The sequence below is a fragment of the Homo sapiens genome, chromosome 14 (assembly GCF_000001405.40).
Source record: "Homo sapiens chromosome 14, GRCh38.p14 Primary Assembly".
NCBI lineage: Eukaryota > Metazoa > Chordata > Mammalia > Primates > Hominidae > Homo > Homo sapiens.
Genome location: NC_000014.9, coordinates 43,308,017 through 43,335,865, shown reverse-complemented (window position 1 = coordinate 43,335,865; position 27,849 = coordinate 43,308,017). Strand labels below are relative to the sequence as shown.

The 27,849-nt window shown below is 35.2% G+C and overlaps 2 long non-coding RNA genes across 2 annotated transcripts; both read right to left on the bottom strand.

Moving 5' to 3' along the window:
- LOC124903307 (uncharacterized) lies at positions 1 to 18,880 on the bottom strand. Its single transcript, XR_007064136.1, has 3 exons — positions 18,804 to 18,880; positions 18,081 to 18,207; positions 1 to 70 (listed from the first exon to the last, which is right to left on the bottom strand). It is a non-coding gene; the product is annotated as an uncharacterized LOC124903307 (long non-coding RNA).
- Positions 18,880 to 27,221, bottom strand: LOC105370470 (uncharacterized). The gene is made up of 4 exons (XR_943798.4): positions 27,024 to 27,221; positions 23,012 to 23,134; positions 21,401 to 21,441; positions 18,880 to 18,963 (listed from the first exon to the last, which is right to left on the bottom strand). It is a non-coding gene; the product is annotated as an uncharacterized LOC105370470 (long non-coding RNA).
- Positions 27,222 to 27,849: the final 628 nt, after the last annotated feature.

The following is a 27,849-nucleotide window of genomic DNA, read 5'->3' as shown; positions in this document are numbered from 1 at the left end:
CCCACTTCTTAGAAATGAACTCACCCAGTTCACAATCACAGGTCTTCTTTATGAAGTAGCATCTAGGAGACTGACAAAAACAAAAGATTCAATAATCATATCATAAGTGCATATTATACATACTTATTTTTGCCTTTCCCAAAGATACCTGTCAAATGTACACCATGATAATTGTTAGAAATTTCAGGGTTTGTTTGCCATAGATCCAAGTGAATGCAAATTCCTGGGGACACATTATGTTTCATGGGTCAGGGTAAAGAGTTAGCATGTAATGATTGAGTCTTCATTCACGATTGCCACACAGTTGGTTCATAGGAACTCAGATTCATCCTTTCATTAGTTTCTCTGTTCATGAATACAGAATTTTAACACTTCACTTAGTAGTTGGTATATTGTTCATATTAGCTTTCTGATTTATGAAATAAGGGCTACTGTGCAAGAAAAGATCTTATGCTATGTACGTTACTTGATCCCTAGAAGATCTCCACTTAGTTTACTTTTACACTGTGTAGAATAGTGATATAACTTGGGAAATAACAGTGGATTATAATTCATTTAATCAAGTGATGTTTAGCTGAAGCTTCTATTCTGGATGTATTCTTTATTGCAGCCAATCAACACAACTCATGGTATTTTATTTATTGTTCATGAAGTTGCCTTATAGATCTGTACCCAAATAAAGTAAGAATGAGATTGATGGATTAATATTTTAGAAACTGAAGCGTGTATAAACTAGGGGACATGTTATTTTATTTTATTTTATTTTTGAGATGGAGTCTCACTCTGTCGCCCAGGCTGGAGTGCAGTGGTGCGATCTTCGCTCACTGCAAGCCTCTGCCTCCCAGGTTCATGCCATTCTCCTGCCTCAGCCTCCTGAGTAGCTGGGACTACAGGCGCCTGCCACCAGGCCCGGGTAATCTTTTTGTATTTTTAATAGAGACGGGGTTTCACCGTGTTAGCCAGGATGGTCTTGATCTCCTAACCTTGTGATCCGCACGCCTTGGCCTCTCAAAGTGCTCGGATTACAGGCGTGAGCCACCAGGCCCAGCCTGTTTTTGTTTGTTTGTTTGTTTGTTTTTTGAGACGGAGTCTCACTGTTTTGCCCAGGCTGGAGTGCAGTGGCGCAATCTCGGCTCACTCCAAGCTCCGCCTCCCAGGTTCATGCCATTCTCCTGCCTCAGACTCCCGAGTAGCTGGGATTACAAGTGCCCGCCACCATGCTCGGCTAATTTTTGTGTTTTTAGTAGAGACGGGGTTTCACCCTCTTAGCCAGGATGGTCTTGATCTCCTGACCTCGTGATCCGCCCACCTCGGCCTCCCCAAGTGTTGGGATTATAGGTGTGAGCCACTGCGCCAGGCTGACAAACACACACAGTTTGTCTCTCAGGTAGGGCTAGGTAGGGAGCTTTCCAAATTAGAGGTCCTGAAATTTAAACTACATTAGCCTCATGAGTAATCTGTTTCAGAGTACATCATCACAACTCTTCTTTAAAATGCTACAAACGCTGATAAGCTATATCGAAATTTAGTCTAAAAGGACCTTTCTAATCTGAATATTCAATAAAACATGATGGTGGTCTAGTAAAAGTTCACTTGATTCCACTTTTCTTGATAGGTCCTGAAGAAAATGAAGTTGATGTTTCAGTGAGACACCTGTATGCCAGAGAGTAAAAGGTAATTCCCAAGCAAATATTGTGTTTTGGTTTGACATCTTATTTAAATTCTGGAATTCTGTGGTCTATGCATTTTAAGTATTCCCTCTAGAGGACATTTTAACACAACTATAGATACAAAGTTACTATGAATAGTAGGCATGAGTAAAGAGAAAAACAACAAACTTTTCTCTTCTTCCATCCATTTTGAACACATATTTAAAGGATGGATATGGTAATTACCCTGATTTAATTATTGTATAATGTACACATGCATTGCAACACTGTACTCCATAAATACGTATAATTATAGGTCAATAATTTAAAGTGATAAAACATACACACTATCAGGAAAAACACATAAACCTTGAATTTGCCTTCTAGTTGCTAGCAATCTGATAAAGGTAGAATGTCAGCTGTGTTCTCAGGCAACATTGGTTTTAGCAGGAAAAATAAAACAACAATAACAACACTGATTACTAAGCCACTTCTGGACTGGAGATACTATTAAAAAAGAATCACACCATAAAAACCTGGGTAAAGCCATAGCTTTGGATTTTCCTGAGCTTGGTAAATCTTGTAGTTGAGCATGCTCCTTTTTTGGTAACCTGGAAGCTGTTGTGAAACTGCTAGAAGAGATATTGATTCCTGTATGAAGCTTGGGGCCTCTCAAGAGCTCAGAGATACATGCTTGCCTTAGGATTTTTGTTTTAGCTGGTTTCATTGCCAGGATGCTTTTCTTGTGGTTATTTGCTTGGCAAATTCACTAATTCTCTTGACATCTGCATGCAAATCTTGCCTTAATGATACTTCAATCACACTGCCAGCTCCTCATCCTTATCCTGATATACTGACTCTTCCATTTTACTTTGGATATTCTTATATAATATAATATATAAATACAATAACAATTTATGTGATTAGCATGTTTACTTTTCTATCCAGTCCACCTTCCTTCCATCATATAAAGTCCATGACAATAGGGGTATTTGTCTGTTTTGTTTCCTAATATAACACATTTCTCAAATAGTGCCTATCATACATTAGCTTCTCAAAAGTTTTATAATAAATAACATATTTGTTGACAGAATGAAATTCAATTTGTCCTGAGCTCATTCTGTCACATTGTTTTTTCTGTCTCTGTCATTTTACTATTTTTTCTTAAGTTCTTATATTTCTATTTTGTTCTATTGATTCATAGAGGTGATTACTGCATTCAGTATATTATTTTATTTGCATTTCACCAAGATGTAACAAAACATTTCTAATAACTGCTTTGTTGTCTAATTAAAAAGATGTTTATTTTCCTTGTAGTATCTTTGCACTGTCTTTCATTTTTTAGGTTATCTGTTTGTAGGAGTTTCATGTTGGAAAACGCTTAGTTCCAGATGCTAGTTACTTATAATTTTTTTCTTTTGCTCCTTGGTTTTGAGGGTAAATTTGTTTATTCCTAGTTCTCACTTGTTCTAGAGGATAACAACTCTTCATTCCCTCCTGATGTAGAGATGGCTTCATCCTGAATATATGACCTGCTTGTATGATTCCTTTATTTGCCATTTCTGGGAAGAAAACTGGTTCCAGAGAAGCCATGCTCACTATATGCTATGCTTTTTCATTACTAAATAAAAGAGATTTACTGGAGGCATGGCCAAATCAAGGAGCCTATTTTCTCGCGACTTCTGAGACTAATTGCCCTAGTCTTTTCAAGTTCTTAGAGCAATTACTAATATTTGAGCCCCATTGCATCGGGCTGCAGTTTTACCTAATTTTTAATGTGTTTTTCAGGGGTTGTTTAGCTGTGTCATAATTTTTCTAAAAATGCAAGTTGCGTTTCAATTTCTCAGCTTTCTTGTCATCTTTATGTAATTTCCAATAGAGGAAAAGGAAATGCTGCCTTCTTCAAATCATAGTTTATCTAATTTTTGTGTTGATAAATGTAATGCATTTAATCTCTACCTTTTAACTCTTTTTTAAACCACATTTAATCATTTTTACCTAAGTACTGCTTTGGTATCATTAATAATATTGATATATGACAAACTGATTTAAAGTCATTTCAAAAGTTTATTAATTTTCCATTTTCTTCACTTACAAGTTACACAAACTTGGTGGCTTAAATAATACACATTTATTATCTCACAGATCTGGAGGTCAGAAACCCAACAGCTTTCTCACCAAGTTGAGAGCAAAGAATCTACAAAGCTATGTTTCTTTCTGGAGGCTGTAGGGGAGATTCTATTTCATTGCTTTCTTTGGTTTTGAGAAGCTGTCCACATCCATTGGCTTTTGGCTCCTTTTTCCATTTCAAAACCAGACAAACATCTTTCTGACTTCCTTTCATTTTTACCTGTCTTTCACTGATTCTCACTTCTCTTGTGCCTCTCTTCCACTTTTACCTGTTATGACGGCATTGAGGCCACATAGATAATTCAGGATAATCTCTGTATTTTCAATTGTTTGGAAAAAATTCCACCTGCAAACTTAATTCTGCATTGCATATAAATTAATAAATTCACAAAGCTTCAAGCATTAGGACTTGGGCATCTTCTTGGAGAGGGGACAAGAAAGCTGTTTATCTTAACTACAAAAGTTTCTTGTTTTAATTGAAATTTGCATATTATGCATGCCTTTCTTCAGGCATGAACTTCCTGATTTGTGAGCATACACAGTAGTGTTTATTTTTAATTGTTCTAATATTAAACATCCAACTGAAAATGACCCATATATTCATTTTAAGTTAGAAAGTGGTCATTTTTTGTGAAAATTACTTGATACCTTAGAAGTAATACATATCCTCTATGTAAAAGATACATAGTTTTCTATATGTTCATAAAATAAATCCATGTATTTTTCCGCTTAAATCCTCTATTTTTTTAAATAATATGTTAGCCTCTTTATCTCACAGATACTTAGTTTATGTTGAAAATTTAATCTTCTATCTTTTTAGTATCATCTAATATTTTTTAGTGTTTCTTACACAATATTTTATATTTATATAACTCAATTTTTAACATTTTTATTAATTACTTGCTCAAAATTTGTGGCAGAGATTAATGATTGCTCTACAGATCTAGTATGTCTTTTATACAGCAATACAATTCCTACATTGTGGTTGGGCATATGGTCAGCTGGAATGTAGACTACATGTGGCCACATAGCCTGTAGGTAGTTGTGATCTTACCTATATACTCTACCCAGTGGGATATGAGGATTGTATCTTTAATGGAAGAAGAACGGCAAATGCCTCTTCTTCCTTTTCTTATTCTGCTACTTGGAACATTGATGTGATATCTAGAAAACTGTTTTGTATAATGATAATCAGAGCCATATACTAGTCCAAGAGATTGAAAAACTAGAAGTACCCTAGTTCTCAGAAGCCATGCAACTATAATACTAAACTTGATCTGCCTGTAGTTGCACTGTGGAGATCCATAAGGTCATGGAAAGGTCATTTCTGAGCTCCTGTCTCAGAACTGATTGAAGATTTCTCTACCTCAACCATTACTGGTTGAAATGCGTCTATGTTCCGCTAATGCGCTAATATTAGGACTAGTAGAAGACTTTGAGGCATGCTCCTTGAATCTAAAATTTAAGAAAGTGCCAAAAACTCAGTACTCCAGAAAAATATTTAATGCAGCATTGCAAAACTTAAAGTTAATGCAAAATATTTATGAAGAAAATATAAAAATTGTAAATAATGGCAGGGTATTGTTTACTTGTTTTAGTACCTGCAATTATTGCGCATTGGAACAGTCTGTCCATTAGTCTCATAATTCTAAATTTATAAGGGCTGACGGTGACTAGAGAATGGATTGAGCAACAAGGGACTTTATATGTAATAATGTTTTCTTTTTCTTTTTCTTTTTTTTTGAGACGGCGTCTTGCTCTGTCGCGCAGGCTGGAGTGCAGTGGTGCAATCTTGGCTCGCTGCAACCTCTGCCTCCCGGGTTCAAGCGATTCTCCTGCCTCAGCCTCCTGAGTAGCTGGGACTACAGGCACGCACCACCACACCTGGCTAATTTTTTGTATTTTTTAGTAGTGACGGGGTTTCACCATATTGGCCAGGTTGGTCTCGAACTCCTGACCTCATGATCTACCCGCCTCACCCTCCTAAAGTGCTGGGATTGCAGGCGTGAGCCACCACACCCGGCCTAATAATGTTTTTTAATTGTTAGATATTAATTCACTTTTTCATCTGGTCCAAAATATAGGACAACGTTTTGCTAAGTGCACATATGGGCACACATTTTCCTTTTGCCTCAGGTTCTAATGTAGCACTGCAGGACACGGTCCTTCAGCCCCACCCCAGGCCTGCGGGAGTATGGGGCTTTGCGATATCTGCTTGGTTTTTGGTCCTCTTTCAGAAATGGGAACTTTTTTTTCATCTCACTCCCCACCACTTGTTTTCAAATAGTGAGATGAGGTTTTATTCCTCATTCTCATTAAATTCCTGCATGCCTTTGCTTCTAGAATGACAGCAAAGCAGACATGGCTTCAGCTCTAATCAATGTGAGGTGTTCTGATTCCGCATATTATCTGGGATTGTTCATGTTATATTGTGCCCATGTCTGTCTTTTTATTTTTGTGTATTTTGTTAATCATTTATTTGTGTTTAGAAGAGAAGGGGTGCATAAAAAGTGAGGACTTTCTGAGTTACTTTGATCAATGTTCCATATTTCAAGCGAAGGGTGAAACTAAAGTCTAGAGAGATGACTTTTATAATGAATCAGCCATTGATGATGCTATGTCACATCTGGTACTTGAATATGTGCTTTTCTTTAAGGCTTCTACTGGAGAATTACTTAGAACTAATTAGAAATTACTAAGAAATAATACTGGGGCACATATATCTAGGGCAATTTACTACACCTCTGGCTGTTCTTCTATTATCAAGAATTGAATAACTTTTGCCAAGTTATTTTTCCCTTGTGGTGGTTGATCTAATTACACAAACCTATAAGAGAAAATGTTATTTATTAGGTGTACATTTTTTTTTACTTTCCTCCTGCAGTGTGATTCCTTCAGTAAAGCTACACTAGCATAAAATTTCTATTATAAGAAACTATTCATTTCTCTGATTCTTTTATCATTTGCTATAAAATACTGAAAATAGCTGCTTCCATTTCTAATATTTTCTCTAAGTTGCAAAAAACTGCAAAAGCTTAAAATGCCAGTGATTATCTTAGATAAGTCTTAAATTAATAATCAACAGCTCATTAGATAAAACATAGTTTGGAGCATATATCATGCATATTCAAAAATCTTTTAGTATAATTTCATGGTAAATTGATTTACTTTCATGGTTTTTAAATTTAAAAAAATACTTTGAAGAAATCAGGAAATTTTTAAGTAATGCAATATATAGTCTGGATATATTATCATGTCCATTTAAGTAAGTATAGCTTGTTGTTCAAACGTTTTTTTAAGACAAGAAGATTTTCTAATTTTATGTAGAATAAGAATAGCCATTGCCTATAAAAAGAACAGACCTAAAGTTACAAAAGAGTTAATAAGAACAAAACAAAATATGATTAATGTTAGGTTAATATTAATTTTCCCGCCATATTATGACGTCTGTGATTTTCTTGAAAACACGTCAGCATAGATTATGATATTGCATGTTCCTTAGGTTAAGCTATAAGCAAAGAGCAGTAAGTATTCCAAAGAATACACTTTCCCATCAGATACTTCATATTGCACAAGGTGTGATTAAAAAGGGATTTTGACTACCTTGTTCAGCACTTTCTTAATCAACATGGTAAGTATGAGAAATGGGTTTTATTGGTACAAATAGTAACAGATTAATAGGTGTTTTCTGTATTAAAAATGGGTTCTTACTGATAAAGTCAATAAAAAATGCAGATTGGGTAAATTATTTTAGAGATTTTCACTGCCCTTGGCTGAATAGATTATACAACAGCAAGACCTATAGATACTACCTTTATAGACAATGGCTTAGGCTAATCCTCTAAGAGGTCCTGTGCCAGCCTTGATCCTGGGGATTGACTAATTTTTTTTCTTTTAAAACTGTGTTTATTTAATGCATATGTCATGCTGTTATATACATATATGTGTAATAAAATGATTACTACAATTAAGCAAATTAACGTATTCATCACCTTCCTAGTTACCTTTTTCGTGTGGTAAGAGCACCTCAAATCTACTTCCTTGGAAAATGTTTAGAATAAATTACAGTATTATTAACTGTAGTCTTCAAAATGTACATTTGATCTCTAGACTTATTTGTCCTACACAACTGCAAGTTTTCATCCTTTTGTGTCCGGAATTTGGTGGGTTCTTGGTCTCACTGACTTCAAGAATGAAGCTGCGAAACCTCGCAGTGACTGTTAGAGTTCTTAAAGGTGATGTGTCTGGGGTTTGTTCCTTCTGATGTCTGGACGTGTTCAGAGTTTCTTCCTTCTGGTGGGCTCGTGGTCTCGCTGGCTTCAGGAGTGAAGCTGCAGACCTTCGCGGTGGGTGTTACAGCTCTTAAGGCGGCGAGTCTGGAGTTGTTCGTTCCTGCTGTCCGGAGTTGTTCATTCCTCCTGGTGGGTTTGTGGTCTCGCTGGCCTCAGGAGTGAAGCTGCAGACCTTCTCAGTGAGTGTTGCAGCTCATAAAGGCAGTGTGGACCCAAAGGGTGAGCAGCAGCAAGATTTATTGCAAAGAGTGAAAGAACAATGCTTCCACATTATGGAAGGAGACCTGAGCAGGTTGCCACTGCTAGCTAGGGCAGCCTGCTTTTATTCCCTTATCTGGCCCCACCCACATCCTGCTGATTGGTTCATTTTACAGAGAACTGATTGGTCTGTTTTACAGAGAGCTGATAGGTCTGTTTTGACAGGGTGCTGATTGGTGTGTTTATAATCTCTGAGCTAGACACAAAAGTTCTCCAAGTTCCCACTAGATTAGCTAGATACAGAGTGCTGATTGGTGTGTTTACAAACCTTGAGCTAGACATAGAGTGCTGATTGGTGTATTTATAATCCCTTAGCTAGACATAAAGGTTCTCCAAGTCCCCACCAGATTAGCCAGATACAGAGTGCTGGTTGGTGAATTTACAAACCTTGAGCTAGACATAGAGTGCTCATTGGTGCATCTACAATCCCTTAGCTAGACATAAAGGTTCTCCAAGTCCCCACTAGACTCAGGAGCCCAGCTGGCTTCACCTAGTGGATCCTGCACAGGGGCCGCAGGTGGAGCTGCTCGCCAGTCCTGCACCATGCACCTGCACTCCTCAGCCCTTGGGCGATCGATGGGACAGGGCGCCGTGGAGCAGGGGGTGGTGCTCCTTGGGGAGGCTTGGGACGTGCAGGAGCCCATGGTGGTGGGGAGGCTCGGGCATGGTGGGCTGCAGGTCCGGAGCCCTGTCCCATGGGGAGGCAGCTGAGGCCCAGCGAGAATTCAAGCACAGTGCTGGCAGGCTGGCACTGCTGGGAGACCCAGCGCACCCTCTGCAGCTGCTGGCCCAGGTGCTAAGCCCCTCACTGCCCAGGGCCGGTGGCGGCGGCCGGCCACTCCAAGTGTGGGGCCCGCGGAGCCCACGCCCACCCAGGACTCACGCTGGCCCATGAGAGCAGTGCACAGCCCCGGTTCCCGCCTGCGCCTCTCCCTCCACACCTCCCCACAAGCAGAGGGAGCCAGCTCTGGCCTCGGCCAGCCCAGAGAGGGGCTCCCTCAGAGCAGTGGCGGGCTGAAGGGCTCCTCAAGTGCAGCTAGAGTGGGTGCCAGGCTGAGGAGGCGCTGAGAGTGAGCGAGGGCTGCCAGCACACTGTCACCTCTCACTTTGACCTACATTTCCCCATTTTCTCCCCCTCTCCCACCCTAGATGCCCTCGTAACCACAGTTCTACTCTCTGATTCCATGTTTTTGACTTATTTACATTCTCAAAAACAAGTGAGATCACTTATATGTGTTTTTCTTTCTATTTCTGAATTACTTCACTTAGCATAATGTGTTCCAGGTTCATCCATGTTGTCACAAATAGAAGTTATCTCTTTTTCAAGGATAAATATTTCATTATGTGTGTGTGTCTGTGTGCATGCATGTATGCACCACAATTTCTTTAGCTATTCTCCTGAGATGAACACTGAACACCTAGGTTGTTTTCATACCTTTGCCATTGTGAATACTGCTATAGTGAACATGAGAGTGCAGGTATCTGTTTAATATATTGATTTTATTTTATGGCTGGGTACATGCCCAAAAGTGAGAATTTGGGGTCATATTATAATTCTATTTTTAATTTTTCAAGGACTCACCATACTGTTTTTATAATCACTGTACCAATTTACATCCACCAGTGTACACTGTTCCTTTTTCGCCACACCCTCACCAACATTTGTTGTCTTTTGCTGCTATCTTAAAAGGTATGGAAAAGAAACAAAATTCTTAGAGGTAAATTTAACCAAGTAATTGAATGATCTGTTCACTGAAAACTATAAAACATTGATGAAGGACATTGAAGATTGCAAAAGAAAATGGAAATGTATCCCATATTCATAAATTAAAAGATTTAATATTGTCAAAATGTTTCTATTACCCAGTGATACACAGATTCAATAAAACTCCTATCAAAATTCTAATGGTACTCTTCACATAAATAGAAAAATCTTCTAATATTTGTATGAAACTACAAAAGGACCCCTAATAGCCAAAACAATCTTGAAAAAGAAAATACAAAATTGGAGTATCACAATTACTGATCTCAAATTATATTGCAATGCTATAGGCTATAGTAATTAAAACAATATGGTACTTACATAAAAATAGCCACATACACAAATGGAACACAATAGAGAGCCAAGAAATAGAGAGACAAATAGACAAATGCACAAATGGAGCAGAATAGAGAGCCAAGAAATAAACTCAAGTGTGTACAGACCTAAGTTTCCACAAGGGTACCAAGAAGACAGAATGGGGAAAGGATAGCCTTTTCAGATGATGGGAAACCTGCATATATGCATGCAAAAGAATAAAACTAAACCCTTATATATATAATTGAAGTCAAAATGGATTAAAGACCCAAACATAAGACTTGAAACTGGAAAACTACCAGAAGCAAACATAGTAGAAAAGATCCTTAATATTGGTCTTTGTAATTATATTTTCGATATTACACAAAAAGCTCAGGAAACAAAATTTAAAATAGACAAATTGGATTGCATCAAATAAAAAAGCTTCTGCACAGTAAAGGAAACAATCAAATGAAAAGGCAGTTAATATTCAAAGTACATAAAGAACTCACACAACTCAGTGGCAAAACAAAAACAAGACAAAAAACAAATAATCTAATCACAATATCAGCAAAGGGCATTAATAGACACTTTTCCAAAAAGATATAAAAATGGCAACTAGTATATGAAATGGTGCTCAACATCATTAATCATGAGGGAAATGTAAATAAAAATCACAGTAAGCTTCACTTCACACCTGTTAGATGTCTGATTCTTGTTAGGAAGAGTAGCCAAAGTCTGCCTTGGGAAATTGGGTTGGTGTGGAGTAACCATTTACATAAGTGGTAGTATATCACCTGAATGGACAAGGAGCTGGCATTTGCTTGAGGTTAGTGAAGAGGCTGCATGAAGTATTGTGCTTGCCTGCTAGTAAATTTAGTTAATTAAATGTATGATAATGTCAGAATACTCTGAGACTCATTTTTACTATAATTAGGAAAACATTTAGAGGAAAGTAGCTAATTATTAATGTCTTCAAAATTTTCTGTTGCTATAATTTTTAGGAAAAATACAAAGTTGTTCAAGACTGTAATAGCTTAGGTCACTTTGCTACCCTACAGTATTTATTTATTTGACAAATGTTTTTTATTTTTATTTTTTATTTTAGTTTATTTTTTGAGATGGAGTCTCGCTCTGTTGCCCAGGCTGGAGTGCAGTGGCACAATCTTGGCTTACTGCAAACTCTGCCTGCAGGGTTCATGCCATTCTCCTGCCTCAGCCTCCTGAGTAGCTGGGACTACAGGCACCTACCACCATGCCCAGCTAATTTTTTTGTATTTTTAGTAGAGATGGCGTTTCACCATGTTAGCCAGGATGATCTCGATCTCCTGACCTCGTCATCCACCTGCCTCGGCCTCCCAAAGTGCAGGGATTACAGGCGTGAGCCACCACGCCCAGCCACGTTTTTTATTTTTTATCATATGTATGATAGGCTGAGAAAATGTCAATGTAGATGATTTCTTTAATGTTTAGTAAAGGAAGATATAAACATTATAAAATATTAGTCATGAAAATAAATGTATTTCATTTATCTCCAGGCATGTGTATAAATTTTATTTTAGTATCTATTTAATACTAAATAAAACTTAACAGTAGTTACTAATGAAAATGAAGATATGTAAAACTTACATTCCAACGTCATAAACTTCATTTAATAATAGTAATTTGTAATGATAACCTTGACTTCTCATGGCCAATCTTGCATGCTTTTAATTATACTGTAAGCATATGTTTACAAACAATGAATAACAAATCCTGATCTTTCAGAAAAAAATAGCTTCTGATATGTTAAAAATAAAATTTGGAAATTTAAATTATTGATCCACTTATAGTGTCTGCCAGTGTTTCATTTGAATATATGTGCTTCCGTTATTCTTGCAATTTGATTTGCTCTATCCTCTCTACTTCACCCTCATTATTCAAGAGCGTATCAACTTGACATATTATTATTACCCTAATCTAACTGATAAGTGCAAAATCTTTGCACGTGCTTTGCATTAGTGAACCGTTGGAAATATTGTGTGAATTCCATTAAAAGCCAACATTGATCACACTGCAAAATCTTATTTTTTTACACACAAAATATAAGTACATACTTAATCCATGATGTTAATTATTCTCTCTTCTGTTTTTCATATTAAGACAATTTCAAAAATTTATTTGAGGCCTTGTTCTAACAGTTTATTTATGAACACAATTTTAATGGAGTCCTCCCAAATTAAAAGATCATTTCATTCTGTCTTTCAACTATCAGGTACAACATGCAAGATATTTTCTGAAAATGTGCTATGTAAAGGAGATAAAAACCAGGCTGTCAGTAAGGCTGGAATCAGTCTCTGTCTTGCCACTGTCTAACCCTTGACGGTATAAAGTTACTTTAACCTATTTAAGATGTCAGTTTCTTACCAGGAAAATAGCTACAGTTCTGTTTTAATAATACAATATGTAAGGAGCATAAAGGCAATATTTGGCATACAGCTGAGCCTTCAGTACCCGTATCTGTTTTTCTATAGTAACTTTTCTATATATGGTACCTTTCCCTATATAAGTATTTATTTATATTTATGCCTGAGTGAAAGATCCCAGGAGACAACACCATGAGCAGATTAATTTTGATTGTGTATGCAAACTAGTATTTTTATTGACCTTAAATGTACATCTTTTACTAAAATATTATGAGTTCTGACAACTTCACACATTTGTGTAACAGTCACCATAATCGAGATAGGAACTACTGCATTATCCCCAGAAATTCTCTATATCTCACTGTAGTCAACACCTCCTCATCCAGTTGCAGCTCCTAAAAACTCTTTTTGTTTTTTGCCTCCATAGTTTTGACTTTCAAGAGGCCACATAAATATAAACGTACAGTTTGTAGCCTTTTATTTGAGACTATTTTGTTGAGGTATTAATGATTTTTTAAAAAGTTGTACATATTTAATGTATACAAAATGATTAATTGGGTGATAAGTATATACCTATGAAACCACCACCACAATCTATGCCGTAAACCTATCACTTTCAAAAGTTTTCTCCGACCCTATTTATTAAATTTATTATCATTATTATTGATTTATGATACTGTAAACCACAAAGAAAATACTAAGCCAGTGAACAACTAATTGGACATCCTCCCCCTTACCTTAACTCAAGCTGATTTCAACACTTCAGGCAGAGATAAAGTCTTTCAACCAATTGCCAATATTCACCTATGACCTGGAAGCCCACCCCTGCCAGACAAATAATACACCATACATGTGTTGATTTTATGTCTTTGTGCATAAGTTCTGTCTCTCTAAAATGTATAGAATCAAGCTGTAACCAAACCAACTTGAGCACATGTTCTCAGGATCTACTGAGGCTGTGTCACAGGCCATGGTCTTTAACCTTGGCAGAAAAACATCGAAATTGATTGAGAGCTGCATCAGATACTTTTTGGTTTATGATAGGAGCACCTAACATAAGATATACCCTCTTAGTAAATTTTAAGAATATAAAATAATATTATTAACTATAGGCTTTATGGTATACAGTAGATCTCTAGGACTTAATTCATCTTGTACAACCAAAATCTCATACCCTGTGACTAATCCCTCCATTTCTGTCTTTCACGAGATCCTGGCAAGTAACATTTCCCTCTCTGCTTCTATGAGTTTGACTATTTTATATTGCACATATAAATGGCATCATGTGGTTGTTCTACTGGATTTAGCTTATTTCACTTAGTATAAGGTCATCCAGGTTCATCCACATTGTCACAAATGGCAAGATTGTCTTCTTCTTGTAAGGTTCAATAGTATTCCATTGTATGTAAATACCACAATTTCTTCATCCATTCATCCATTGGTGAACATTTAGATTGCTTCTATGTTTTGGCTATTGTAAATCACACCACAATGAACATGGGAGTATAGGTATTTCTTTGATGTACTGATTTTATTTCCTTTGGGTTAATACGGAGAAATGGAATTGCTGAATCATATGATAGTTCTAGTTTTTTTTTTTTTAATTTTAAGACTCTCCATCATAATAGTTATAGCAATTTACATCCCAACTAATGGTAAATAAAGGTTTCTTTTTCTCCATAAGGGAGTTGCAGGAGGATCCCTGGAGACCAGGAGTTTGAGCAACATAGAAAATATTTTGTCTCTATAAAAAAAAAACAAAAAACTAAAAGTTAGCCAGGCATAGTGTTGTGCACCTGTGGTCTCAGCTACTCGAAAGGCTGAGGTGGGATGTTTGCTTGAGCCTGGGAAGTAAAGGCTGCAGTAAGCTGTGATTGTGCCACTGCACTCCAGCCTGGGTACAGATTAAGACGTTACCTCAAAAAAAAAAAAATTAAAAAATCTACTACATATATCTATCTATCTATTTATCTGTCGATCTACACATATATTTGTGTGTGCAATTGTGTAAACACAGTTTTAATGATCATGACAGTAGTTTGGGGAAAAAAAAAAGCAGTAGGTGTTTCATTCTACTTTTTATTATATTTGGTATCTAAAAACCCTGAGAATTTTTTAGTAGTTATCAACATAATAAGGAAGAGAACCAACTCAATATTGAGGGGTCACAATCAATGTATCTATTTCTTTCTATTCAAATGCTTGAATAATAAGGAGGGCAGAAATAATTTTATATTAGATAAATTTTGAACCAAATAAAATTAAAAGCACAAAATTATCTTTCTATACATTTAATAATTCATTACTACTGATTTTAGTAGAAAGCATATGTTGACAAAAGTTTTTAAAAACCATACTCTTGAAGATCATTACTTGGTATTTTTAACAGGAAGATTCAGCATTTAAATAAAATGTTTACATATAATGGCTACTACTTATATTACTGTAATGCATATTGATATTTATAGTAATAATGTAGATATGTGTCAACATTTATCAAATAATAATTATGCATGCCATTTTGATTTCATTTCTTTGTATTGTTAGACTTTCTAAATAATTGCATAACTGTAAAATAATGAAGAGGTAAAAGTAAAAGATAAAACAGACAAAAAGCAAAAAAAATCTTTATTCTAGTTATAAAATTCAGGCAAAATCATAATTATGATATACATTCTCTAAGAAGTAATAACTACCCATGAATAGCATAATATTTAAATACTAGGCTAGGAAACCAATGGGATTATACTGTTAGATAGCGAATTTTTTCATTCGATGAAAGACAATCTAAAAATCTTACCCCTGTTATAAAACTTCACATTCCATTAGATTTCTTCTGGTTCAGGTTTTATGATAGGAAAAATAATATAAACCTTACTATATTTTCACCTTTGAAGAAGAAAAAAGATGGAATATAGCAGAAAGCATAAAAGTGCCTTTCTTATTTTCAGAGCAGTCATGCACTATAAAAATCTGTGATATATAAGACTTCATAATAAAGAACCCAATGTTTATTAAAAAGAAGTATAATTTTTTTCAGAAGTCTAAAGCTTTTCAAAAAATATATTAAATTTTGTTTTATTTTGTTTTGTTTCCTCATTTTCTTTCCATGCTACACTTTACCATTTTTTTAATAGCTGGAAATAGACATTTTTGTCTGTTTTTTTTTTAATTGATGAGGTTACTCTCATCAATGAAGAAGTTTGTAGAACTTCTTGTCGAAGTTGTAGCCATGACACTCTCAAAGGAAGGGCAAGAATTAACAAGAATTAAACACTAACTGAGCTGCTCCTTTTCTCCATATGGAGATGGCTCTGGTAATTGAACCATGCCTGGGGACTGACCTCCCAGAAGTTTAGAGTCGTTGGAGTTATGTGTTTTCTTTTCCTATAAAACCTGCAATCAAAATGCAAATTGAAAACTAAATTTTCCTTAAAAGTCACTATCAATTTAAAAGCTGTTTTAAATATTCTTTTCAAATTCTATAAATTACCATAAAGCTCTAAGTCTCATATTTCTGGAATATTTAGCAAAAGTGAAATTGCTTTGTCCAGAATAGCTTTTTTTTAGTTTCTTCTGATGAAAAAATTGCAAGATGAAATTCTAAGTAGACAATAAGTTATATCGTAATCTGCATTGAAGCTTCACTGGCTCCTTATTAGTTTCATCTGAAGGTATGGGGTTATTTAGGGTGCAGTAAGGTATGGTGAAATTGCCCATGAAATTGTTTCTAACCCTAAATGATAAAGTATAGGAAGAGGAATATTAATTTAGTTTTACCAGAATTAGAAAGTTTAACATGCTGAACATTGAACTTCATCATTTAAGTATTAAAAAAGGCATGACAATATTACATGAAATCTTTTAATCTGTTATGCAAATATATGTTCAAATTTAGTGTTATACTTAACATGTAGACCTTAGGAATTTAAGGAAGGAAGTAGATGTATCATATCTAAGGGATAGTTAAAATTGTTTTACAAGTATACACATTGAAAATCAGAGTTCTATTATTTTATAGGAATTATTCCCTTGTCACTAGTTCATGAATCTGTAAGGTTCTCCTGATATATTTATGTAGGTTCCAACACTTTTAGGGATATATTTTCATGTCATCATGTTTTTCTCCTATTAAAGGAAAACACTAGCTAAATTAAATTTAAAAGGGTTAAGTGGAGCAAAGAAAATTTTGTGAATCGGGCAGCCTCACAAGCCAGATTAGACTTAGAGACTTCAGCACAGCCACATGGTGGAAGATATATGGACAGAACAAGGAAAGTGACATACAGAAAATGGAAATGAGGAACAGAAACAGCTGGATTGGTTACAGCTTGATGTCTGCCTTATTTTAACACAGTTTGAACAGTTGGCCACCTTTGATTGGACAAAACTCAGTGATTAGCACAAGAGTAGGCTGCAGTGTGCTTATAACTCCATTTAGGTTATAGTTCACGATGCAAAGAGAAACATTTAGGCTGAACTTAAAATATGTAAGGAGGCAGCTTTAGGCTATACTTGATTTAATAATTCCCCCCCTTTGGTCAATTTTTTCAACTATGAGAGATTGACCAAAATTTTAATCAGTAATGTCACTCTCGCCATTGTAAATGCACTTATTCAATCTTGAAACCCACTGAGAAATAGCAAACAGATCAGTGGGTTTGGTAAGGGGAACAAGGACTTCAGGTTATTTTTTTGTAAGGGTTACAGTAAAGGGTAGCTGATTATGCTGGAATGGACTGTTCACAGGAGAAAACAAAACCTAGTTTGTTCTAGGATCTACATGTTTCCTTAAAGTTTCAGTTTGATTTTGTCACATTTAGCATGAATGACTCCATTTTGGTTTGGTCTGGTCTGTTGGGGTCTAGTGCATGTGCTTAGTCCAAAACAATGGGCTCCCACTATTTTGTTTAAAAATTTTCCCCTTTTGGTTAGGTTCTCACTTATGTGAGAGTGTGATTCAAACTTAGGGCCTTAGCACCACTCTCAGTTACCATCATTTTGGATTTCTCATCTCAGCATGTCATTCATAGGTTACAGTGCCCTCATGATCACACATCTTTTTCAGCTCTTGTCATTCCCATTAAAGAGAGACCATTTGACCTTCTAGAGATGTCTGTATGCAAACATTTAATACTTTTGAGGGAATATAGTGCGCCAAGAAGATTATTATTATGACTATCAGGAGGATAATACCAAGAGCTTGGGGTATGCTCCTTATGGTGGGTCCCCATAAACCAAACCAACTAAAATCAAATAGATCAAAGAATAAGCTAAAGAATCTACTCACTTTAATTAAACAGTCTCTTCAATAATCCCGTACAACTGAATCTCTATAATATGCACTATGATGTAGTTCTCCATGGGCAACAAGTGCCACCAGCTGCACAGATACTTCTGTTTAGCCAGTAAGTAATCTAGAACAATAGAGCAATTCTATTATTTAGCATAACTTTCACAAGATAATTTAAAGTCTGTTGTGTAACCATAACCTTTAGAGTAAAATCTGCTTTAAAGCCTATCATCAGTGGTAAATTTTCAATCATTGCCTCATTTACTCCTAACCATGGGGGAAAAAAAAAAGAAAACCTAACAAATGATGCCCTTCTAGAATAGTGAAGACCTCCTGACAATGTTCTCCTTAACCCATGATATAGGTTAAGACAAGTGGAACAATGTTCTGTTTCTCACTAATTATCAGGCAACATATGTACTATTAAAGCTTTTCACCTACATTGGGCCTTCATCTTCCATCTGTCAAGGTATAAAGTTATCCATGCATAATGCTGGCTGCAAACTCCTTCACAAAAAATATATATATATATGCCATGAGTGCACCCAACAGCACCCTTTCCACTTCTATTGTTCATAGATGAATAAAAAAGGGGAAAAAAAAGAAAGATAAAGAGTCTCATGATAGTAGAGAAGTCTTGATTTCTTGATCTTGGGAAAAAGCTATTCACTTCAAGGATGCCACCTTCTTTTGGGGAGAAACTTCCCTGGCTAGCTTTACCTTAAGGTTTTCCAGTGGGTGTACAGTTCCAAGAGTGTGGAGGGACCCTTCTCAGTTGTGAGATTATGAATCCAAGGTTCAAGTTCCCGAAGTTTTGCTGCAGTGTGAATAGCAAGGGCAGTGATTCTCTGATGTTCTCCAAAGATTCAGTCTTTGCGTTCTAGATTGTGAAGGGGACAATTGTCCTCAGACAGTAAACCATGAAAAGCTCTCTTTACCTGGTGAAAATACACTGTGGAATAGTGAGCTGCTATTATAACATCAGTCTTCTTGCATGAGAAAGCTCTAATACAACCGGAAGACATGCATTAAAAATGACAATGGAATGAAACCCCTCTATAATTGTTTAAATGGCCCATCAGGTAGCAGAATGCACATGAAATTTTGATTGTCTTCCCAGGAATATGAGTTTGACAAACCAAACGTTGGTCATAAACTATGTAAACTATTTTAGCCATTTATAAGTCACTATATATATATATTTATATATATATATTTAATTTGGATCATTTTACTTATTCCATGATGAGTCATGAAATGCAGAACTTTTAATAACAAAAGCTTTAAGGACTCAGGAAGGACAAGGCAGCCATCCTGGTCCTCCATGAGTCCATGCTTAACATTGTACTTAGTCCTCTTGAATACCAGTTGTTTTTCCGGTTTAGGGGTGTAACACTGATAACTGATGGGTTATCATAAGTAATCTGACTTAGACCATGGAGTTCATTCAGATTGTATATCTACACAATTTCAATACTGGCTGATTCAGCATGAAAATTTGCCAAAGCATTTTCTCGGTATTCAATTAATTTGATTCTACTTGAGTTAGCAGTTTTATAAACCAGTCAGTCTCGTCATTAAAGTACTAGGAATTCTTAACCCAATCCAAATGATATGATTCTAAAGTTATTAGAAACCTGCATTCAAGAGTGTTTTTCAGGGTTGTTTTCATTCTTTCATGAACTCCTTAAAGACTCTATATTCTAAAATTTTGTATGCTTGTGAAGTTTTCAGAAATTGCATCAAAATTAAGCAATTAACTGTGGAAATGACTTTAAACAAGCATTTTAAAGACACAGTTGATAAAAAAATTTCTTTATTTCTGTGGTCTACAATAACAACATTATAACCATAAGTGTGATTTATAGTGCATACTCAGACATATTAGAATTTTAGAAATCCCATACAATTTTGGAACATATATTAATGACATTCATTAAATATAACCTGAAGAAGGTTAAACATTATTCCTTGACAATGCTTCCCATGTAACTTAACATGTCAAATAATCCTGCTTACCTCCCTACAGAGGGCTTCAGTGGCCCTCTTTAGCATCTCAAAGTTAGAGGCCAAAGAAGACTTAATTTTGATGCTGAAATATGATTTTGGGAAGCCTATCAAATACATTAAAGGTTTAAAACACTTGAACAAAATAGGATCACTGGTCACCATAAAACAATAGTTGTTCATTTAACCAAAGTGATAATTTTAAAAGATTTTTAAAGGCCAAAACCTGTACTCTGATAAAAAAAGACCCAGTTTTCCAAACAAAAGACCTAAGACAGCATGAGACAGAATCTGTCTCTTCTTTCCTCTGTCTTTTTCACTCTTTTGGCAGTTTACTCAAAAGGTGAATGAAAATACTTTACCATGTGTTATTAAAACTACAAAAAAATTTTGTTCAAAAGAGAAAACCAAGTTTTCTTTTTGTATTAGTGTATTATCAAAACTAAAATTAATTTTAATAAAACCTTATAAATAAATGTACCAAATCTGTCATCTTTTAACCACACAAGATTTCCATAAACCTTTTGTTTTACATTTTTCCCCAACTTTCTTTGTTTATTGTGTTGTATCTATTTTATTACTCTTTCAACTTGAAACTTTTAAGTAACTTTAAACCAGACAACATTTTAAACACACATTTTTATGCCTTTATAACTTTCCCCATTGAACACATATCTTGGTTTTGTTTATACACTCTGTATACAGAATTGTCTCATATCTAGTAGTTTTTAACTTTTATTATCTCTATTTTTTAGTGAAAAACCTAGAAAGTAATTTTGAACTGTTTTATATCAGTATTTGTAGATAAAAACCATTTTATATTTTTTAAGAAAAATAGTTCTTCAAATTATTGTTTATTGACAGATCTATTTAGCTTTTCTATATCATGTAAAAATAACATGTGAAGGTATATAGACTTAAACTCATGTTTAATATCTACATTTCAATATCAACTTACAGATGACTCAGACATTTTATAATTATCTATTACTTAATTTTACATAACATGACTCTAAAATTTTAAATTACTGAAAATAATTTTGAAATTGACACAGGTAGCCTTTCTAATGTCTTCCCCTAGGCATTCTAGGTCTTAGGTAGCCACAGGGGACCCAAGAGGATTATGAAATTCAAGGCCTTTCTGAATCCATAAGGACAGAGAACAGAGCCATGAAGACTATATCTGGAGAATCCAACCCATCCCAAAATAGCCAGGAGGCAAACAGGAAAAGCAGAGGAGGAAGCAGCCATGTTGGACTTGATTCTGGCTGGTATAGGCGTAGAAAATGGTATAGAAAATGTCTTCATACCTCATCATGACTACCCATTTAGATCCCGGAATCCGGAGACTCTAAACCAAAGACATAAGCTCACAGTCAAATGAAGCAAGTATCTGTATTTAACTGATAATTTTGAAGCCATTTTTATTTTACCAACATTTTAAAAACTAGCTTTATTTACTAAATATTATCACGTATAGACACACAACATATAGAAACACAACATATAGCATAACACATATAGACACACACACATAACTCATATAGACATACAAACACGCAGAAGCTTTCATAAAGGATTTTCATTTGGTGGCTTTTAAATAATTCCCACTCTTACACCCCATTTGGTCTATCAGTCTTCTAATTACCTGTTTCTTTGCCTTAAGGTATTGTTAACTAGGCAACAATTTGCATTTCTAAAGGGACAACTCTTAGGTGAAACAAATACATATATATGTAATTTCATAAGCATAGAGCTAAGATTTTAGGCCTAAATATTTTATTATCATTTGCACAAACCAAAGGAAAAAATGACTCAAACAAAATGTCACTTAAGATGGCCAGATAAGCGCCTTAAACAAAGGTATGACTTATTATGTAAATCTAAAAGAATTTTACAAGTTTCTAATATACATAGGCAGACATCCTTAAAAATGGAGATTTCCTTTATAGATGTAAATTTCTTTTACAAAAGTGTTTCAAGATAACAAATTAAATTTCAGAAAGGTGTATTTTAGTTTAACAGGGTGTTCCTTTAAACTTAGCTACTGTTTTTTATCTAAAATTACTGAGTTCAGGGTGGAGTCCACTAAGGACTAGGGCCAAGAAAGCATTTTCTATGCCTGGACTCAGCATGGATAGATCTGAAAAAAAGTCAAGCCTTCTTTACCTGAGGGACTACATTTTATTATCACTTAGGATAGCTTTCTTTCCACCTTTGTGGTGGGATAGTAATAAGCCAAAAGTTTAGCAGGTTTAATTTTTCTTATCAATTAGTCTCTTTAGCTTTTTATTTGCCTTTTATAAAGTCTTTGCTTGAAAATACTGGTATATTTTTAGAAGTTTCTGCATATCAGTAGTCATTCTTACATGAGACTAATTTGGGAGCCCTCATTTTCAAATGCATTTCTTTAGTGCAGTACTGTTCATTTGGAATGTTCCACTGTAACTAATCTTTAGTAAGATTTTGTCATCTCTATGAGACCTTGCTGTTTCCAGGGCCTAATACCTATGCATGTATAAGCTGAAAGGAACTCAGTTCTTTAGAAATTAAGGATCCTATTTTTACCACAAATGTTTTCCAATGATCAATTAGCCAAAGATCAACTTTTCCCTACCCAAGTGTGCAAGAAAAATGAAACAAAGTGGATAGAACACAAAAATTCCTACAAATTTCCAAAAGACAAATTTTACACCCCCTGCAACATTGCCATTTACTACCAGTTTCTTTCTAATCCAGTGAGACATAAGAGGCTTCTAACTGGATCCAAGCCAGTTAATTATCAGGTCTAATCTGATCCTGGACCCAGTCCAGTTTCTGTTATGACTTCCAAACCCAGTTTGGATGAGAATTTTGCTCAAAGAAACTCAGAGAACTCAAAACACAATCAATTCAGCTTCAGAATCTGAGAGAGAACTTACCATAGTCCCCAGCTGCTCCAAGAGACCAAAGGACACAGTAAGACTGGCAGGTACCTCGGATGGTCACTCAGTGCTCATGGGGATCATTAGAAGCTCTACTTTGGATCCCAATTCTGACACCATCTGTTAAAAGAAAAACTTTAGCTGAATTAAATTTTAAAAAGTTTAATTGAGCAAAGCAATATTCATAAATCTGGAAACCCCCTGAGCCAGAGTAGGCTCAGAGACTCCAGCACAGCCATGTGGTAGAAAAATATTTATAGACAGAAAAGGAAAGTGGTGTACAGAAAATGGAAGTGAGGTATAGAAACAGCTAGATTGATTACAGCTTGGCATTTGACTTATTTGAATACGGTTTGAATTGTTGGTCACCTTTGATTGGTCAATGTTCAGTGATTGGTACAAAATTAATCTACGGTGTGTTTGGAACTCCATTTAGCTTTTAGTTCACAATGTACAAAGAAACCTTTAGTCTGAACTTAAAATATGTAATGATACAGCTTTAGGCTAAGCTCTATTTAACACTGCTTACTTTTTAAGTGCCCTTAGACTGTATCATTTTGGACAAAATGTCTCTACTGTTGATGAAAAGAGTCAAACTGTAAAATATTCGAAGAGATTTATTCTGAGCCAAATATGACTGGCCCATGGCCCATGACATAGCCATCAGGAGATTCTGAGAACATCTGCCCAAGGTGGATGGGGCACAGCTTGGCTTTATACATTTTCGGGAGACATGAGACATTAAATAATATGTGTAAGGTGTATATTGGTTCAGTCAAGAAAGGCAGGACAACTCAAAGTGGGGCTTCCAGGGAATGGGTATATAAGAGACAAATGATTGCATTCTTTTGGCTATTTGATTAGCCTTTCAATGAATACACAATTTACATGTGACTTCGGGTGGGGGGTAAAGGAATAGTCATTGATGCCTTAATCTGGGTCAGTGAATCTGCATTTTTACATAAACTATAGGGCTGAGAAAGCAATTAGATATGCATTTGTCTCAGGTGAGCAGAGGGATGACTTTCTGTCCTACACCTGTGAAGATAAGCTATCAATTTACTTTGCCAGGGTGAAATTCAGCAAAATTATTTTTAGAGTAAAAGTCTTGAGGCTCACAAGAAATTTCCTTAATAAAATGGGAGGAATGATTGCCTGATGCAGTTCCCAGCTTGACTTTTCTCTGGTTTAGTGATTTTGGGGTCCCAAGATGTATTATCCTTTCATACTACTATTTTGCATATTGCATTAAAAATACCATTTACCAATGTTAAGTACTGGGTAGATTTTCTCCCTAAAATTTGATTCAAGAAAACTTGGGACAACTAGACCTCAATATAAGGTTACCATATTTTTATGATTATCTCAAGCTCTGCACCCCAGTGATAATCCTCATTTCTCTGTTCTTATCTAAAACCTATATGCTCCTTAAACATTACTTTTGTTCACTTAAGTTCTCCTGCATTGTGGATTTGTAATGCAACATTCTTTTCAATTGATTTTCCTGTACATGATAGCTTAACTACATATACCTGTGTTGTTTGTTCAGCTCTCTCCTCCAGGGCTGTTAGGTTTTTCCTGGGTAATTTTGTTTTATTTTAAGCACACTCTCTAGTGACAGCAGATGGCAATGTCAGAGGAAGATTGTGGAGAAAATATGAAACAATTAATTTACAGTGTTTGGAATTATGCTTAATTCAGCTCAGTGTCCCCAAACTTAGGTGATCAAAAAGTATAATTACAGTTGATTTATTGAGATTTATGTACAATAACAGTAACAATTAAGATATTTGTTTGGCCGGGCACAGTGGCTCACGCCTGTAATCCCAGCACTTTGGGAGGCCGAGGCGGGCGTATCATGAGGTCAGGAGATCGAGACCATCCTGGCTAAGACGGTGAAACCCCGTCACTACTAAAAATACAAAAAAAAATTAGTCAGGCGTGGTGGCGGGCGCCTGTAGTCCCAGCTACTCGGGAGGCTGAGGCAGGAGAATGGCGTGAACCCGGAAGGCGGAGCTTGCAGTGAGCCGAGATCATGCCACTGTACTCCAGCCTGGGCGACAGAGTGAAACTGCGTCTCAAAAAAAAAAAAAAAAAAAAAAGATACTTGTTTTTTGATCGGTTGAGAAATATGTGTTGTTTTTTAAAAAGATAGATTAAAGTATATTCTAGCTGTTATAAACCTGCGTTCTGAAAATTCTACTCAGATTTATACTTTGTTATTAATATAATACCCAGAATGTTTCCCTAAAGTAGTACCTGAGCGATATTTTATGTACAGGTCTGTCAATTAAACTAGTACACATAAATTAAAAACTAAATACTTAGAACATACTTTGCCTTTTTGATAGTCTCTATTTTGTTCATTGTTTTAATAACATAAATTGATTTGAAATTAGTTGATTTTTTGGAAAAGTTATTAGATAAAATATTTAGGTAGAGTACAAACAAAATAAGGCAATGGTTTTATAAAATTGCTAAAGCTATATGTCTAATGAAACAACTGTAATATATGACTTATAGGTTGCAATACTATAACACTAACATAAAATATCTACAAATCCTAGATCAATGTATTACATTTTTTTCTACTTCATGCACAATTTAATCACAATAAGGACATATTAGGGCAGCTTGGAGCTATAGGAATGTCAAATAAAACTAATAAAATTGATATTTCAGAAAGATTAATTTGTAACAATTTGCTGGGCAAGATAAATAGAAACTAAGAGAAACAGGGAAGCAAGAGAAAAGATATGACTTTATTATATAAATTCAGGAATAAATTGATAACACTATAATTTTGACCTCCCTTCCAATATTTTCACATCAAAATATACTACCTCTGCATATTTTTCTCCAGTCATAGTTTTCATGAATCTGATTACTGTTTAAGATCTCCCTAAATTGTCTTGCTCACTATAAAGTTCAGAAGTGCTTACAGGTTATATTTTCTTCCACTACTTTAAAATTCTCCCCCAAGCTATCACCTTATTTTTAAAAATTCAAGACCACTTATAACTGTACTCCACAATTCCCAGATTTTAGTACAGTTGACATATGGCAGTTTGTTCTTAAATCACAAAACAAATTATTCAAATATTGCACTTCTTGTTGACATGGGTAATTATGTCCAACACCAAATCCTCAAAACTAAAGCCCAAAGCAGGCTATTTCAACAGCATAATGGAAAGATATATAGAACAATATTCACTTACATTATATTTAGATTGGGAATTTGATTATGGTTTATAGTGGTACCAAAATGTTAAAGGATTCATGTGAGACAAGGCGTATTTATCTACATACAAATAAAAGAATAGGAAAGAGATCACTAGTGTAATGGCTTATTGGTTAACATCAAATGTATTCACTAAAAAAGAAAAGACTCTACACATCATACATTGAAAGAAATAAAACATAATCTAAATGTAACAAATCATAAGAAAAAGCCATACTGGGAAACAAACCATGTTATTTAAAGTAAATCCAAACTTAATTTATTTTTATGTACATTTGGTTGAACTGCTCACTTCATACAGACATAGTATCAAATTAGTGAATACTAGAGCAAATTCTAGTAAGAGTTAATATGGAAAGATTTTAGGTGCTTGACTTGACATAAGCACAATTACACCAACAAATACAAACTTATTTTTAAAATAAAATAGTCAAGTATAGTGTTTTCCCTGAATACGGTTTACATGACTTTAGTTTATCAAAGTAGTGACTGACACATTTCTCAATGGAAAGGTAGAAAATCTCATCACTGTTATGAAAATATTCCCAGCAAAATGTGTTCCCAATTTCTTTTCAGCAAAATATGTATTGATGTATGATTTTAAATGTAATGAAGTGTTGAAATTCTTTACCATTGACATCACAGTGCTGCATTTTATCATTTACTAGCTCCAGGCACAAAAGCAATACCTGAGACCCAATTGTCCATTCTTGGCTAACACTGCCTTATGTAACTAACAGCACAAATATGTGCACTTAATATACTTACCTTAAACCAGAACTCCCAATATAAAAATCAACTTTAAATTTGTCAATATTTTTTTAAAGCAGTGACAAGGTAGACTTTCATTTAAAAATAATAAATAAAACTCTTCTTGTTATGCCGATTTTTGAGATAGTACAGGTCTACTGTCTTTCAGTGTGAATTACTGCGTCCTTCTCTCAGTAGATCTGGTAACACCTCAAGATGTAGTCAGCTCTCATTACTCATGGTAGTTATGCTTTATGAAGTCACCATGAACACGGAATTTAAAAATATTGAATGACTGCTTCTGGGAAAAAGCAGGGTTAAGTTTATGCAAGCCTTGAGTCACAACATGTTCCTCAACCAAAATGTCATTTGTGTTATATAGGTTAATTTGCCTATGTCCTTATTAAACAAGGCAATATTTAATCATCAGAACTGAAAACCTGCTCTTCCACCTAATCTTCCTCCTGTATAATATTTATCAGGCATTCTAAATTATTTTATGAAGTCTCCAGATCTGTAGAAACCACCCTGTCTGTTAAACCTTCAAGTTTAACATTTTTCAGACCATGCTGCTTTCAAAACACGTAAGACAGTCAGCATTGGCCAAGAAGGATTTAGCGTTTTCTTGACCCTGATTAACATGACTGTATATACATATATATATATTTGGCTTTAAGAATGACAACAATGCTGTTCATTACACATTTTTATATGTGTCATCTCATGAATTTACAAATTTGGCAGGTTTTCCATCTTTTCCATGTCTTTCTCATGCATTGTAGATGTTATTTTAGCACTTTGTGGAGCAGCCTCATGTACAGATCAGCAAATTTCCGCTTTATTT